This window comes from Homo sapiens, chromosome 17 (assembly GCF_000001405.40).
Source record: "Homo sapiens chromosome 17, GRCh38.p14 Primary Assembly".
In the NCBI taxonomy this organism is placed as follows: domain Eukaryota; kingdom Metazoa; phylum Chordata; class Mammalia; order Primates; family Hominidae; genus Homo; species Homo sapiens.
Genome location: NC_000017.11, coordinates 48,892,683 through 48,907,517, shown reverse-complemented (window position 1 = coordinate 48,907,517; position 14,835 = coordinate 48,892,683). Strand labels below are relative to the sequence as shown.

General features: G+C 47.1%; 1 protein-coding gene, 1 long non-coding RNA gene and 1 pseudogene across 3 annotated transcripts in view, besides 3 other annotated features; 1 reads left to right on the top strand and 2 right to left on the bottom strand.

Annotated features, from left to right (window-relative positions):
* LOC105371814 (uncharacterized) overlaps nt 1-14,835 on the top strand; it is a 34,124-nt gene that overhangs the window by 1,466 nt on the left and 17,823 nt on the right. The window lies entirely within an intron of this gene.
* Nucleotides 7,757-8,420, bottom strand: LOC100419622 (ribosomal protein L37 pseudogene; annotated as a pseudogene).
* ATP5MC1 (ATP synthase membrane subunit c locus 1) lies at nt 11,647-14,731 on the bottom strand. 2 transcript variants are annotated; one of them, NM_005175.3, is made up of 5 exons: nt 14,608-14,731; nt 14,062-14,109; nt 13,069-13,146; nt 12,184-12,362; nt 11,647-11,863 (listed from the first exon to the last, which is right to left on the bottom strand). In NM_005175.3, exons 2-5 carry the CDS (start codon nt 14,098-14,100, stop codon nt 11,749-11,751), a joined length of 411 nt encoding a protein of 136 aa, NP_005166.1. In that variant the 5' UTR covers nt 14,101-14,109; nt 14,608-14,731; the 3' UTR covers nt 11,647-11,748. The 2 variants fall into 2 exon arrangements, with proteins under 2 accessions (NP_005166.1, NP_001002027.1); NM_001002027.2 differs by having other exon boundaries at nt 14,678-14,731.
* Nucleotides 13,929-13,978: an enhancer, noted in NCBI's record as "active region_12345". NCBI's record gives its function as "activates an Ori minimal core promoter by ATAC-STARR-seq in GM12878 lymphoblastoid cells {active_cell/tissue: GM12878}" and the evidence as "EXISTENCE:reporter gene assay evidence [ECO:0000049][PMID:35858748]".
* Nucleotides 14,019-14,128: an enhancer, noted in NCBI's record as "active region_12344". NCBI's record gives its function as "activates an Ori minimal core promoter by ATAC-STARR-seq in GM12878 lymphoblastoid cells {active_cell/tissue: GM12878}" and the evidence as "EXISTENCE:reporter gene assay evidence [ECO:0000049][PMID:35858748]".
* Nucleotides 14,709-14,828: an enhancer, noted in NCBI's record as "active region_12343". NCBI's record gives its function as "activates an Ori minimal core promoter by ATAC-STARR-seq in GM12878 lymphoblastoid cells {active_cell/tissue: GM12878}" and the evidence as "EXISTENCE:reporter gene assay evidence [ECO:0000049][PMID:35858748]".

The following is a 14,835-nucleotide window of genomic DNA, read 5'->3' as shown; positions in this document are numbered from 1 at the left end:
ACTCAGGAGGCTTAGGCAGGTGGATCACTTGAACCCGGGAGGCGGAGTTTGCAGTGAGTTGAGATCACGCCACTGCACTCCAGCCTGGGCGACAGAGCCAGACTCCGTCTCAAAAAAAAAAAAAAAAATTCCTATGGACTAAGAATGACAGGGGCCTTCCTAAAAAACTGTTTTTCCTTGCCGGGCGCGGTGGCTCATGCCTGTAATCCCAGCACTTTGGGAGGCTGAGGCGGGCGGATCACTAGGTCAGGAGATCAAGACCATCCTGGCTAACACTGTGAAACCCCGTCTCTACTAAAAATACAAAAAATTAGCCGGGCGTGGTGGCGGGCGCCTGTAGTCCCAGCTACTCGGAAGGCTGAGGCAGGAGAATGGCGTGAACCCGGGAGGCGGAGCTTGCAGTGGGCGGAGATCGTGCCACTGCACTCCAGCCTGGGCGACAGAGCAAGACTCCGTCTCAAAACAAAAACAAAAACTTTTTTCCCTAGCAAAAATATAGGATCAATATTAACTGGAAACCAGTGGGGCCAGATGTATTTCAGACTTTGGAATGACACACCAAGCAAGGAGTGGGGCAGCGCCGGGTAGCCAAACCTATTGACATTTCTGCATCAAAGTGTATGAACATTCGTACCAAGTCAAATGAATAGCCTCACTTTGGATGTTTTGCCACCAAGTTTGGTTTTTTAAAAAAGAAGTCTGGGCCGGGCACGGTGGCTCACGTCTGTAATCCCAACAATTTGGGAGGCCGAGGTGGGTGGATCACCTGAGGTAAGGAGTTCGAGACCAGCTTGACCAATATGGTGAAACCCCGTCTCTACTAAAAATACAAAAATTAGCCGGGTGTGTTGGCAGGCGCCTGTAGTCCCAACTACTCAGGAGGCTGAGACAGAAGAATCACTTGAACCCGGGAAGGAGAAGTTGCAGTGAGCCGAGACTGAGTCACTGCACTCCATCCTGGGTAAAAGAGTGAGACTCCGTCTCAAAAAAAAGAGTCTGGCTTTAGAGTTTTTTTGTTTTTTGTTTTTTGTTTTTAAAGAGGGAATCTTGCTCTTGTCACGCAGGCTGGAGTGCAATGGCGCAATCGTGGCTCACTGCAATCTCCGCCTCCTGGGTTCAAACAATTCTCCTGCCTCAGCCTCCCCAGTAGCTGAGATTACAAGCATGCCTCTATGCCTGGCTAATTTTTTGTATTTTTTTAGTAGAGGCGCCTCTACGCCTGGCTAATTTTTTGTATTTTTTTAGTAGAGGCGAGGTTTCACCATGTTGGCCAGGAAGGTCTCCAACTCCTTTTGGAGTTGGATCAAGTCATCCGCCCTTCTCGGTCTCCCAAAGTGCTGGGATTACAGAAGTCATCCACCCACCCCACCCTTCCTGCCTTTTAGAGTTTTATGAATTTACAGTAATGGAATGCAGACCTGAAGGATAATGACCAAGATTTATGGAGAGCTAAAGATTGATTTGTTTTGAGACAGGGTCTTGCTCTGTCACCCAGACTGGAGTGCAGTGATGGGATCACAACTCACTGCAACCTCTGCCTCAGCCCTCCAAGTAGCTGGGATTACAGACACGTGCCACGATGCCCGGCTAATTTTTGTATTTTTCTGTAGAAGCGAGGTTTCACCATGTTGCCCAGGTTGGTCTCGAACTTCTGGGCTCAAGCAGTCCTTCCGCCTTGGCCTCCTAAAGTGCTCGGGATTACAGGCGTCAGCCACCGTGCTTGGCCTAAAAAATTATTTTTTTAGCAGACATTTATTGAGTGTTTAATATGTGGCAGGCATTTTGTATACTTTGGCTTTATTCCTTTCAACACTCAGTGAAGTAGTAGGTACTATTATTTATTTATTTTTATTTTTTTTTTGGTTTGGAGTCTTGCTCTGTCGCCCAGGCTGGAGTGCAGTGGCGCGATCTCGGCTCACTGCAAGCTCCACCTCCAAGGTTTACACCATTCTCCTGCCCTAGCCTCCCAAGTAGCTGGACTACAGGCGCCCACCACCACGCCTGGCTAATTTTTTATATTTTTTGTAGAGATGGGGTTTCACTGTGTTAGCCAGGATGGTCTTGAACTCCTGACCTTATGATCCATCCGCCTTGGCCTCCCAAAGTGCTGGGATTACAGGCGTAAGCCACCGCACCTGGCCTTAGGTACTATTATTAATCTGGTCTGATAGATGGAAAAACAGACTTACAGAGGTTCAGTGAATTACATGGGGTCATGCTGAGAGCAAGTCGCATAATTGGGACTGTAAACCAAATCTGACTTCTGAGAACAAGTGCTAACCACTACGTGACACTCCCACACTTATATTTTACCTTGTACTAATTATGGTCCCTTGGTACCTGTTGCCCCCACCCCCCCCCCTTTTTTTTTTCTGTGAGAGGGAGTCTTGCTCTGTCACCCAGACTGGAGTGCGGTGGCCTGATCTCAGCTCACTGCAACCCTGCCTCCCAGTTTCAAGGGATTCTTGTGCCTCAGCCTCCTGAGTAGTTGGGACTACACCACGTCCGGCTAATTTTGTATTTTCAGTAATTCCTACCTCTCAAAGTTTCCCAGAGGATTAACTATGACATTTCCAGAAGTTTTTGTAAAGTGTGGGCCACCATGCCCAGCTGCTTTTTATATTTTTAATAGAGACTGGGTTTCGCCCTGTTGGCCATGCTGGTCTCGAACTCCTAATCTCAAGTGATCCACCCCACTCAGCCTCCCAAGTGCTGGGATTACAGGTATAAGCATCCCCATCCCCTCTTAACACACATACGCACACAACGTGTACACCCTTGGGGCTCTAGACAATGTATTATATGTGAATCCAGCACAGGGCATGGCACAGCTTAGGCGCAACATGAAATGAAATGAATCAATATAGTATTTTATGCAGATTTTGCGTTTTGTTGGTATAGTGTTTTATCAGCATAATAAAGATGCCAGAATATCTATAAAAGGATACACAAGGCCGGGAGTGGTGGCTCATCCTGTACTCCCAGTACTTTGGGAGGCTGAGGTGGATCACCTGAGGTCAGGAGTTCGAGACCAGCCTAGCCAACATGGTGAAACCTCGTCTAAACTAAAAATACAAAAATTAGCTGGTCATGGCAGCAGGCGCCTGTAATCCCAGCTACTCCTGCTGAGGCAGGAGAATTGCTTGAACTTGGGAGGCAGAGGTTGCAGTGAGCTGAGATCGTGTTGTTTCACTCCAACCTGGGCAACAGAGTGAGACTGTCTCAAAAAAAAAAAAAAAAAAAGAGGATACCCAAGAAAATGTTAACAGTGGTTGCCAGCTGGGTGCGGTGGCTCATGCCTGTAATCCCAGCACTTTGGGAGGCTGAAGTGGGTGGATCATGAGGTCAAGAGATCGAGACCATCCTGGCCAACATGGTGAAACCCCATCTCTACTAAAAATACAAAAATTAGCTGGGCGTGGTGGCACGCGCCTGTAGTCCCAGCAACTCGGGAGGCTGAAGCAGGAGAATTGCTTGAACCCGGGAGGTGGAGGTTGCAGTGAGCTGAGATTGCAAAGCGCATGCCTATAATCCCAGCACTTTGGGAGGCTGAGGTGCACGGATCACTTGAGGTCAGGAGTTTGAGACCAGCCTGGCCAACATGGTGAAACCCCATCTCTACTAAAAATACAAAAATTAGCTGGGCGTGGTGGTGGGCACCTGTAATCCCAGCTACTTGGGAGGCTGAGGCAGGAGAATCACTTGAGCCCGGGAGGTAACACGCCACTGCACTCCAGCCTGGGCAACAGAGGGAGACTATGTCTCAAAAAAAAAAAAAAAAAAAAAAAGGACTCCAGAATTTTGCTTGATTATTATTTATTCAGTAAGGTGGTCAAAGGTCAGTTTGCTTGGTAACCTCATACAAAGAAAAACACTATTCCATAGCTCCTCCATAGCTACAGAATACAAAGGCCCAGAGGTGGCCCATGGGGTGAGGGGATTCCTCAGTGTATCTCACCACTGGACCATTATTTTCAAGTACAAGGTCTGGTAGTGATGGGGCAATGAACAGAAAACCCTTACCTTAGATTTAGATGGAGGTTCAGGTTTTTAATCTGCATCTCTTACCTTCTTTGAAGCCTATTTTTGCAGCCTATATTTTGCAATATAGAATAGTGAAAATTCCTACCTCTCAAGGTTTCCCTGAGGATTAAGTGTGGCATTTCCAGAAGCTTTTGTAAAGTGGCAAGGACTGTACAAATAATTGGCATCTCACTTTCCAGTGTACCTTCTCCCCCCTCCAAGCCTTTGCCCATTTTTTCTACTTGGAATACTCTTTTTTTTTTTTTTTTGAGGTGGGATGGAGTTTCACTCTTGTTGCCCAGGATGGAGTGCAATAGTGCGATCTCAGCTCACTGCAACCTCTGCCTCCCGGGTTCAAGCGATTCTCCTGCCTCAGCCTCCCAAGTAGCTGGGATTACAGGCATATACCACCACTTCCGGCTAATTTTGTATTTTCAGTAGAGATGGGGTGTCTCCATGTTGGTCAGGCTGCTCTCGAACTCCTGGCCTCAGGTGATCCGCCCGCCTCGGCCTCCCAAAGTGCTGGGATTACAGGCATGAGCTACTGCTGCCCGCTGGAATACTCTTTACCTCTACCATATCCTAGGTAGGGAAATCCTAGTTGTTTAAGCTCTATGAACCTCTGCTCTTCATCAGCAAAATTGAGAAAATAATAGTAGCTACTAAGATCATGTGATAATGAATGTATACAATGCCTGGTCACTGGAAATGTTCAATAATTATTAACTCTTATTATTCTTACTCATTCTTCAAGGCTGGCTGGAATATTACTTTCTCTGCTAAACACTGACACTTCCAGGCATATTATTATTATTATTTTTAATTACTCCCTCCTCTGGTTCTCATGGCTGATTACTCATACCTTTATTATAACATGCACTACTTTTTATTTTAATGGCTTTTTACTCATCCCTCTGGCCACTAGATATGACCTCCTCCTGGGCAAGAAGCATGGGGGCACCTATCTTTCTATCACTTGGACCTGACATTCAGTGGGTGTTGCATAACTGGTGAGCAGAATGGAAATGAGAACACGGTAGCCAGCTGCCCTTCCCCTGGCTATAGATCTTACAGTTTTTATCTAAAAATATGTTTAGAGGCCAGATGCGGTGGCTCACGCCTGTAATCCCAGCACTTTGGGAGGCCGAGGTGGGTGGATCACTTGAGGTCAGGAGTTTGAGATCAGCCTGGCCAACATGGTGAAACCTCATCTCTACTAAAAATACAAAAATTAGTCGGGCGTGATGGTGTGTGCCTGTAATCCCAGCTACTTGGGAGGCTGAGGCAGGAGAATAGCTTGAACCCGGGAGGCAGAGGTTGCAGCAAGCAGAGATCGTACCATTGCACTCCAGCCTGGGCGACAGAGTGAGACTCAGTCTAAAAAAAAAAAGAAAAAGAAAAAAATATATATATGTATATATATGGAGACAAGGTCTCACTTTGTTGCCATATATATATATATATATATATATATGTATATATATGGAGACAAGGTCTCACTTTGTTGCCATATATATATATATATATATATATATGTATATATATGGAGACAATGTCTCACTTTGTTGCCATATATATATATATGTATATATATGGCGACAAGGTCTCACTTTGTTGCCATATATATATATATATGTATATATATGGAGACAATGTCTCACTTTGTTGCCATATATATATATATATATATGGAGAGAGAGAGGGAGACGGGGGCGGGGGTGGGGGGGCGGGGGGAGGAGAGAGACAGACAGACAAGGTCTCACTTTGTTGCCCAGCTGGTCTTGAACTCCCGGCCTCAAATGACTGTCCCGCCTCAGCCTCCCAAAGTGTTGGGATTATAAGCATGAGCCACCATGCTTGGCAGCTATATATCTTAGCATTTACTTCCTCTGCCATGCTTATTTTTTCTTCTTTTTTCCTCCAGTATCCTCATTTTAACAGTATTATACCTATTATATTTCCAAAAAGGCTGAGCCAAGCTTGCACAGAGAACCTGCAAGTCAGGGCCTGAAGGGCTGCAGGGGATGGCAGCTGCTTAAAGGACCAGTTAACTACCTCTGGGAGGCCTCTAAGCTGGGGGAGAGAGGAAGGGCCAGACAGAGGGAGCAGAACATAAGCTGGTGCTTCTTAGTTCCGTGCTCACTTTTTCAAGGCCAACACTTAGCTGCTTTCCCCTGGCAGCTTGGGCAGAGGGCAAACATGTGCATCCTTGGAGCCACTTCCATACCCTCAGAGGTAATTGACACAACTGAGTGGAACTCAGGAACCTGGATCAAAGCCTCTCTCTCCTTAGCACTGACTACAGTGCATTGGGCTGTCTCTTGGTGCAACAAGGTTTGGTAGCACGTCGCTCGTGGCACCTAGGCAAGTGCCCTCCATCTGACAGGCATTAGCAAGTGTCCTGGGGTTCAGGTCTCTGCTGTGCCTCAATCCTCTGAGAAGATACACCATGAAGATCCTTCTCCTTCCCTTCCCTAAAATCCTGGGTCCTATGGCCCTCTGGAGTAGACCTCCAGGGCCCAGCCTTTTGTCTTGGTTAAATGCCAGGGATAAATGAAAAAGAATTCCCACCATGTCATAAACCTTACACTAAAGAGAATAATCAGAACTTGGACTAGATGTTTTGAAGCTTCTGATTGTAATATCTGTTTTTTTTTTTTTTTTTTTTGAGATGGTCTCTCGTATTGTCACCTGGGCTGGAGTGCAGTGGCGCGATCTTGGCCCACTGCAACCACCACCTCCTGGGTTCAAGCGATTCTCCTGCCTCAGCCTCCCGAGTAGTTGGGATTACAGGTGGCTGCCACCACGCCCAGCTAATTTTTTGTATTTGTAGTAGAGACGCGGTTTCACCATGTTGGCCAGGCTGGTCTCGAACTCCTGACCTCGTGATTCACCTACCTTGGCCTTCCAAAGTGCTGGGATTACAGACGTGAGCTACCGTGCCAGCCATGACATCTGTTTTTAATAATTTAATCTGTTATGTGTTATCCCGTTAATTCCCTCTCTTTGCCACCATTGCTGAACTCTTAAGGTGATGGTTGCTAATTGTTTTCTGCTCACTATTCCTCTGAGAATATAATGAATACAATGGGCCCTCTCCCAAGAACAATGCATTGCTGTATCCACTAAAAATATTTTACACTAAACAAAATGGTCTCATCTATGGACCAGTCCATAGACCCTAGATAAAGAACCTTAATGATAAAGTTCTGGGACTAACTAGCTTGGTAGGGGGTAAGGAAGCATTCTCCCCTGACTCTCCTGGACTCCGTGGGCCCACCAACCACATTCCCAATTCTGCTGACTTGAGTTTATAAATGCAGCCATTCCAAGGCTGTTTGGAGCCCTTCATGAAGGGAAATTCTTTTTAAATTTTTATTATTATTTTAAAAAAACAGAATATTTATTGCATGACTAATGGTTGAAAGTTTTTTTTTTTTTTTTTGAGATGGAGTGTCGCTCTGTTGCCCAGGCTGGAGTGCAGTGGCACGATCTTGGCTCACTGCAACCTCTGCCTCCTAGGTTCAAGCAATTCTCCTGCCTCAGCCTCCCGAGTAGCTGGGACTACAGGTATGTGCCACCATGACCAGCTAATTTTTTTTTGCATTTTTAGTAGAGACGGGGTTTCACCATGTCAGCCAGCATAGTCTTGATCTCTTGACCTTGTGATCCAGCCGCCTTGGCTCCCAAAGTGCTGGGATTACAGGGGTGAGCCACCGCACCCGGCCTATCGGTTGAAATTGTTAAGATGACTCGGATGCTGCAACAGCTGCCCTTTTGTGTTTAGGTGTTGTTTCTTCACGAAATCCATGCCTGAATCTGTGGTATACAGCTTTTAGGTGTCTCATTCGACCAGTCCCAGTGGCATTTCATCTTTGAGCCTTGGCACTCCAGTTATACTTCCTCTTGTGCTTGGCAGGGTAGCCACATTTGCCACAGGTCGACTTTTTTTTTTTTTTTGGAGATGGAGTCTCACTCTGTTGTCCAGGCTGGAGTGCAGTGGTGTGATCTTGGCTCACTGCAACCTCCACCTCCCAGGTTCAAGAAATTTTCTGCCTCAGCCTCCTGAGTAGCTGGGATTACAGGCGTCTGCCACTGTGGTCGGTTAATTTGTTTGTATTTTTAGTAGAGACGGGATTTCACCATGTTGGCCAGGCTGGTCTTGAACTCGTGACCTCATGTTCCCCCCCCCCCCCCCCGCCCCCGCCGCCCCAGCCTCCCAAAGTGCTGGGATTACAGGCGTAAGCCACCGCGCCTGGCCCGCCACAGGTCGACTTCTGAAGGTGGTAGGCCTTAGAGCCATATTGGTGGCACAACCTGTGTGTCTTATTGCAACGCTTGCCAAACGTTGACGTTCCCTTCGTCTTGCTTCTGCAGCCGAGACCAAAGAGCAGGAAATTCTTTTTTTTTTTTTTTTTTTTTTTTTTGAGACGGAGTCTCGCTCTGTCGCCCAGGCTGGAGTGCAGTGGCGGGATCTCGGCTCACTGCAAGCTCCGCCTCCCGGGTTCACGCCATTCTCCTGCCTCAGCCTCCCAAGTAGCTGGGACTACAGGCGCCCGCCACTACGCCCGGCTAATTTTTTGTATTTTTTAGTAGAGACGGGGTTTCACCGTTTTAGCCGGGATGGTCTCGATCTCCTGACCTCGTGATCCGCCCGCCTCGGCCTCCCAAAGTGCTGGGATTACAGGCGTGAGCCACCGCGCCCGGCCGAGCAGGAAATTCTTACCAGCCTCTTGGCAAAAACTGGATTCCTGGAATTTCACAGGAAAGATAGAGCAACCACCTTCCCTGGGGGCTGCTTCTTGATTGCCACTGGAGGTGGTAGGAAGTGACCTGGTAGGAAGCCAGCTGTGCCATTCTGTTTGTGTAACAGCATTACCAGTTAATCCATTGCTCTCTTGGTGAAACATCAGTCACCAGTTTAACCTCAGTTCCATTTCCTATTCAGCCGTGAGATTCCTGGGCTTTGCTTCTGGTTGTCACTGGCTTGTTGTGGGCAAACTTGAGGGAGTTTCTTAAGGTGAAAAGGCTGAGGAGATGCAGCAGATTGTGGTAGACCAGTAGCTCTCAACTGGGCATGATTTTGCCCCCCAGCCAGGGGGCATTTGTCAACATTCTGACATTTGGCAATTTGTCGTCACAACTTGGGTGGGGATGTCAGTTGCTACTGACATTGAACGGGTAGAGGTTAGGGATGCCGCTAAACATACACTACACGAGGGAGTCCCCTCCACAACAATGAATTACCTGGCCCCAGATATGCCAAGGTCAAGAAATCCTGGGGTAGAAACGCCATGATTGTATAAATGTCAGACTGGGATTCGAATCATTGGCATGCTCTATGACCTTGGGCAAGTCACCACACTTGTGCAAACCTCAGATGAGTCAGCACAAAGCTAAGAACACAGGTTCTGGAGTTTGAATCCCAGCTTTACTAACCAGCTGTGGTTTAGTAGAATTTAGGCAGAATGCCTCACCTCTCTGAGCCTCTTCATTTGCTTACTTACCTGTAAACTGACTTATTCTATAGGGATGTTGGAAGTTAATCGTGGAAAGTGCTTAGCATTGTGCATGACACACAGGTGCTCAAATGTTAGCCCACATTATTATAACTCACACCAGCCTCCTTTTTCCTCTGGGAACTTCTATAGCACATAGCTCATGTACCCACATATACAATGAGGTAGGGCATGGTGTACTTATTTCTACTCTGTTGGTGCCCCAAACTCCTTGAGGGCAAGGACATTAGAATTAGATTTCTTTGCTTCCCCTAAGGTCCCTAGGAAGATGCTTAAATACCTACATGACTGTCTTTAAATTGCACGTAAATGGAATCCAAATTTTCTGTATGTTTTAACCCTCTTTGCTAGTTGCCTTTCAGTTAGAAGGTGTTCTTAACACCAATTAGATATTTTCTTGGTTTCACTATTTCACATTTTGCAGTTGAGGTATAAAGTTTTCACAGAATGGATCCCACTTTACGTTACTACTCCTTTTGAAGCCATCCAATTTGAGACAGACCACGTTCCCAGCATCTTTGCATGAGTTCTCTGTCCATGGCTTGCTCCTGCAAGGACTTAGAGAAGCAGCAACTGTTGATATGTCAACTTAGCTAATTTTACATGGGTTATCAGTCCCACTTTAGCCAAGAGGGGCAAGACTGGTGGGCATAGACTTTGAGAACCCAAGGAAGATGCTGGACGAAGCTCTTTATGGAATTCATTATTTGGCACACGCCCCCAAATCATCTTTTTTTTTTTTTTTTTGAGACGGAGTTTTGCTCTTGTTGCCCAGGCTGGAGTGCAATGGCATGATCTCGGCTCACCACAACCTCCGCCTCCTGGGTTCAAGTGATTCTCCTGCCTCAGCCTCCCAAGTAGCTGGGATTACAGGCATGCGCCACCATGCCTGGTTAACTTTGTATTTTTAGTAGAGACTGGGTTTCTCCATGTTGTTCAGGCTGGTCTCGAACTCCTGACCTCAGGTGATCCGCCGGCCTCAGCCTCCCAAAGTGCTGGGATTACAGGCGTGAGCCACCATGCCTGGCTCCAGATAGTCTTTTATCCTAGCAAAACTAAGGTGATAAATTCTCCAAGAACCAGGATTGTGTACTTTATCTGCTTTAAGAACATTTAGATACTCTGAGAAAGGCTAATTGATAGTGAAAATGAAACCTACAAATGGGGCTAAACACAGGCAGATAGAAGCCTACCTCTACCTTTCACCTGCTATACAACTTCTTTGGGACTAAGTTTCCCTTTCTGTGCCACATTAATTGTTGTGTGACCAGAATGAAAATAGATGGGACAAAAAAAAAAAAAAAAGAAAATAGATAGGACAACAGTGCAGTTAAGGTTTAAGCTGGCCTGGGGGAGAAATCCCCAATCTGCCACTTACTAGCTCTGTGATACTGGATAAGTTATTTTGCTTCCCCAAACCCTGGGTCTGTCATTGGCAAAACAGTTTTAAAGTTGTGCTTATAACTCTTAGGGTTGTTGAGATAACGAATGTAAAATGCTTGGTGTAAATTAAGCCCTTCAAAAATGTAACCTATTAATATGCAGTTGTTACAGTTATCCTTTGGTATCTGTGGGAGATTGGCTCCAGGACCCCAGTGGATACCACAGATGCTCAAGTCCCTTATATAAAATGGTGTAGTATTTGCATATAACCTATGCACATCCTCCCATATACTTTAAATCATCTCTAGATTACTTACAATACCTAAATACTAGGTAAATGCTATATAAATAATGGCTATACTGTATTGTTTAGGGAATAATGACAAGAAAAAAAAAGCCTGTACTTGTGCAGTACAGACACAACCATTCACTTTTTTCCCTGAATATTTTCTGTCTACTGTTAGTTGAATCCACAAATATGGAACCTATGGATACAGATGGCCAACTGTAATAAATCTGAAGGGAAAAGGCAAAAATCTCATTACTCAGACAAACCCATATTCCTCCTGGGAGAACATGAGAACCCTCTGTTCTTACAGTCATGGCAGTGCTCCTTCTCAGCCCTGAGGAGTTCCCATCACCCATGGCTGAGCAAATTCCCTCTCCTCACCCTTCTACCAAGGCCCTCCTGAAGGTCAAAGGACAGAGGCACAGACAGGGGTTTAGAGAAACGTTGTGTTTAATGGTAAAGCTTAACACACCCCAGCACCAAGAATGGTGTGGAGTTGCAGTAGCAACAGGCCGGTGACCCCCCCATGGAGCCTCACATGGCGAAGAGGATGAGGAAGGCGACCATCAAACAGAAAAGCCCCATGGCCTCAGACAGGGCAAAGCCAAGAATGGCATAGGAGAAGAGCTGCTGCTTGAGAGACGGGTTCCTGGGAGGGACAGAGATCATTGCCAGTTGAGGGAGAGGAAGGGGTGAGGGGAGGGGAGGACACAGGAGGGTGAGGTGAATGGGGACTGTTACTCCTGGGAGAGGGCCTAGCCTGCACAGATCCTGGGGATTTGGATGGACAAGCAGAGTGGGCCAACCTGGTAAGTTTAAGTGAGCCAGGCTGGATGCATGTTTTCTCTGGAGAAACTATGATGTAGATGAAATCAACCTGAAGGCTCCTGAAGGGAGCTCCTCCAGCTGAGGCTTCCCCAAACGGGGTGGAATTTACAGTGGGAGATGCTGTAGACCACCCAAACTTACCTGGCATAGCCAATGATCAAGCTGCCAAACACGGTTCCAATGCCAGCCCCTGAACCAGCCACACCAACTGTGGCTGCCCCAGCACCAATAAACTTGGCTGCTGTGTCAATGTCCCGGGAGACAACACTGGTCTGGAACTCCCGTCTGGCCACCTGGAGTGGGAAGTTGCTGTAGGAAGGCTAGAAAGAGAAGCAAGGCAGGCGAGATAGCAGAGAGATAGTATGGCATAAGGACAGGTGGCTGACTCTACCTCCTTCACCCCACCCACCTGAGCTCTGAAACTGTTGGCAAACTGCCTGGTAAATGCAGAATACTCTGATTGCAGAGTATGCTGGGAATTAGTCTTAGAGTCTGTTGTCAGACAGCAGACAGGACTAGGGAAATTTCATGGGTTAGGCACACCTCACTTTTATAAGTTTCTTACCTACAAGGCTTACCTTGGGGGACTTAGAACTATTAAAGCATACAGATTCTCCAACTCTCCTCCCACTTTGGTCTAAAGGCAACTTAAGCTGAAGGACCCCTGTCTGGGAACATTCCTTGATTTAAAAAAAATTAATTAATGGGTTTTTATGAGTCAGGGTCTTGCTCTGTCACCCAGTCTGGAGTGCAGTGGCATAGTCACAGCAGTCTCGACCTCTGGGATTAACCAATCCTCTCATCTCAGCCCTGGAGTAACTGGGACTACAGCCACATGCCACCACACATGGCTAATTTTTTTATTTTTTTTGTAGAGATGGGGTTTCACTGTGTTGCCCAGGCTGGTCTTGAACAACTGGGCTCAAGTGATCCTCTCGCCTCAGCCTCTCAAAGAGCTGGGATTACAGGTGTGAGCCACCATCCTGGGCCTTGGGAACATTCCTAAGAGAGCTATTCCTCCCTTACCTGTTTAGATGAATTCACTGGGCTATTCAAGAAGGAGGCAGACACAGGCCTGATTAGACCCCTGGTACAACAGCGGATCTGTAAAATCAGAAAGCCACATCCTACCAAATCAGTCAAGGAAAAAAAATCCTAATTGCTGAGCTGTCAAAAATGACTACAGATTTCATAAACAGAATAAGTTCAATGTATTTCAAGGTCAATTTATTCCTGTTCCTATCAGATAGGCCTGCCCCAGAGACAGCTGTCTCAATAGCTTGATATAGTCAGCAGTGGCAACCTTCACCATTCAAAACCAAACCAAAGTTCACTTCTTTGGGCACAGCTTTAATCAGCTTCTCAGAATGGAACAAGAACCCACACTAATACCAAAGCAGGTACAGGAAAGGTTTATACCCAGATCACCAAGTAATCAGATGGGGGAAATTTTATTCTGCTAAAATACACTCACAGCTACACACCCTAAATGGAGTGGGCCAGTCAGCCCCGGAAACCGACTGGAATAGCCATCCAAGGAGAGCCATCTGTAACATGGCTTTTTTGAAATAATTTTTAGTGCAGTGGTTCTCAAACTTGGCTGCACGGTGGAATCATCTGGAGAAGTCTTAAAAGATACAGATGCCTGGGTTCCACCCCCATTCCCAAAGTCTGATGCAAATGGTCTAAGGTGCAGCCTAGGCATCAGGATTTTAAAAAGTTCCCTGGATGATTCTAACGTGCAGCCACTGTTGAAAACCACTGTTTTAGTGGGCTGTCTCTATGGCCAGGACAGACTGGGGATAAAAATCAAATCCAGACTCTCTGACCACATTCCAAAGCCAAGATAGCTTGGTTCACAGGCCCAGATAAACAGGGGTTACCTTCATCACATCCTACAGCCACCTCAAAGAGCCTACATCATCAGGACGCCAAGCTCCCCTGGGTTCATTCATTAAACACTGATGGCGTCCACACCATACACCTGGTACTACAGAGCACTGCGGCGCGGCACCTTACCAGAGCTGGAGAAATGAATAATGCCCCGGCGGTCTGCATTTTTTCAGTCTGCAGAGGGGGAAAAAATAGTAATAATAATCCCACTGAGACCCTGGTTGTTTGCTTATAATGACGACCTTTGGTCGTCCCCTTCACCCCCGTCCGTCCTCCCTAGACCACGCTCTTCCTTGCACCGTGCCCCAGCTGAGGAGGGCATTAGAGGTCAGAGGGACAGAGCAGTGGGTCTTCAAAGCAAAGTCATGGAGATCGGAAGTCAAGGAAATGTGCCCAAGCCCCAGGAAGGAAATGTTGCGAAAGGGAATGGTCTCTCGGGAAGACTGGAGGCGGATACTGGGCAGGTGTCGCGCAGGATCCTGCCCATCTTACACAGCAGTCCCCGACCCGCCCCAGCCGAGGCAGTCAATCGTTCATTACCGTTGGTAATTAACATTCATTGATAAGGCCATATCTAGATTGCCATAGCCTCTCCCAGCACTGGGGGGAAATACCCCTCCACACTGCCCAGCCCACAACCCTGCCTATTGCTGGCTCCCGGCCCCAAGTCACCTGCACTCCTACTACCCTGCAACCCCTGCTTGGCCCACAGCGCTCGCCCGGCTCAAGGTGACAGACTCACCTCCCAGCTTTAGCCCTTGGTCTCAGCGCTCAGCTTCCCCCACCCACGTGTCCTGGACCTTCTCCATTCTCATTGGCCGTAATATCCCCGCGTCCCCATTGGTTGACGTCATCGATTCCCCACTCTTATTGGCTTTCCGCAGCTGCTTCCTCTCCCTC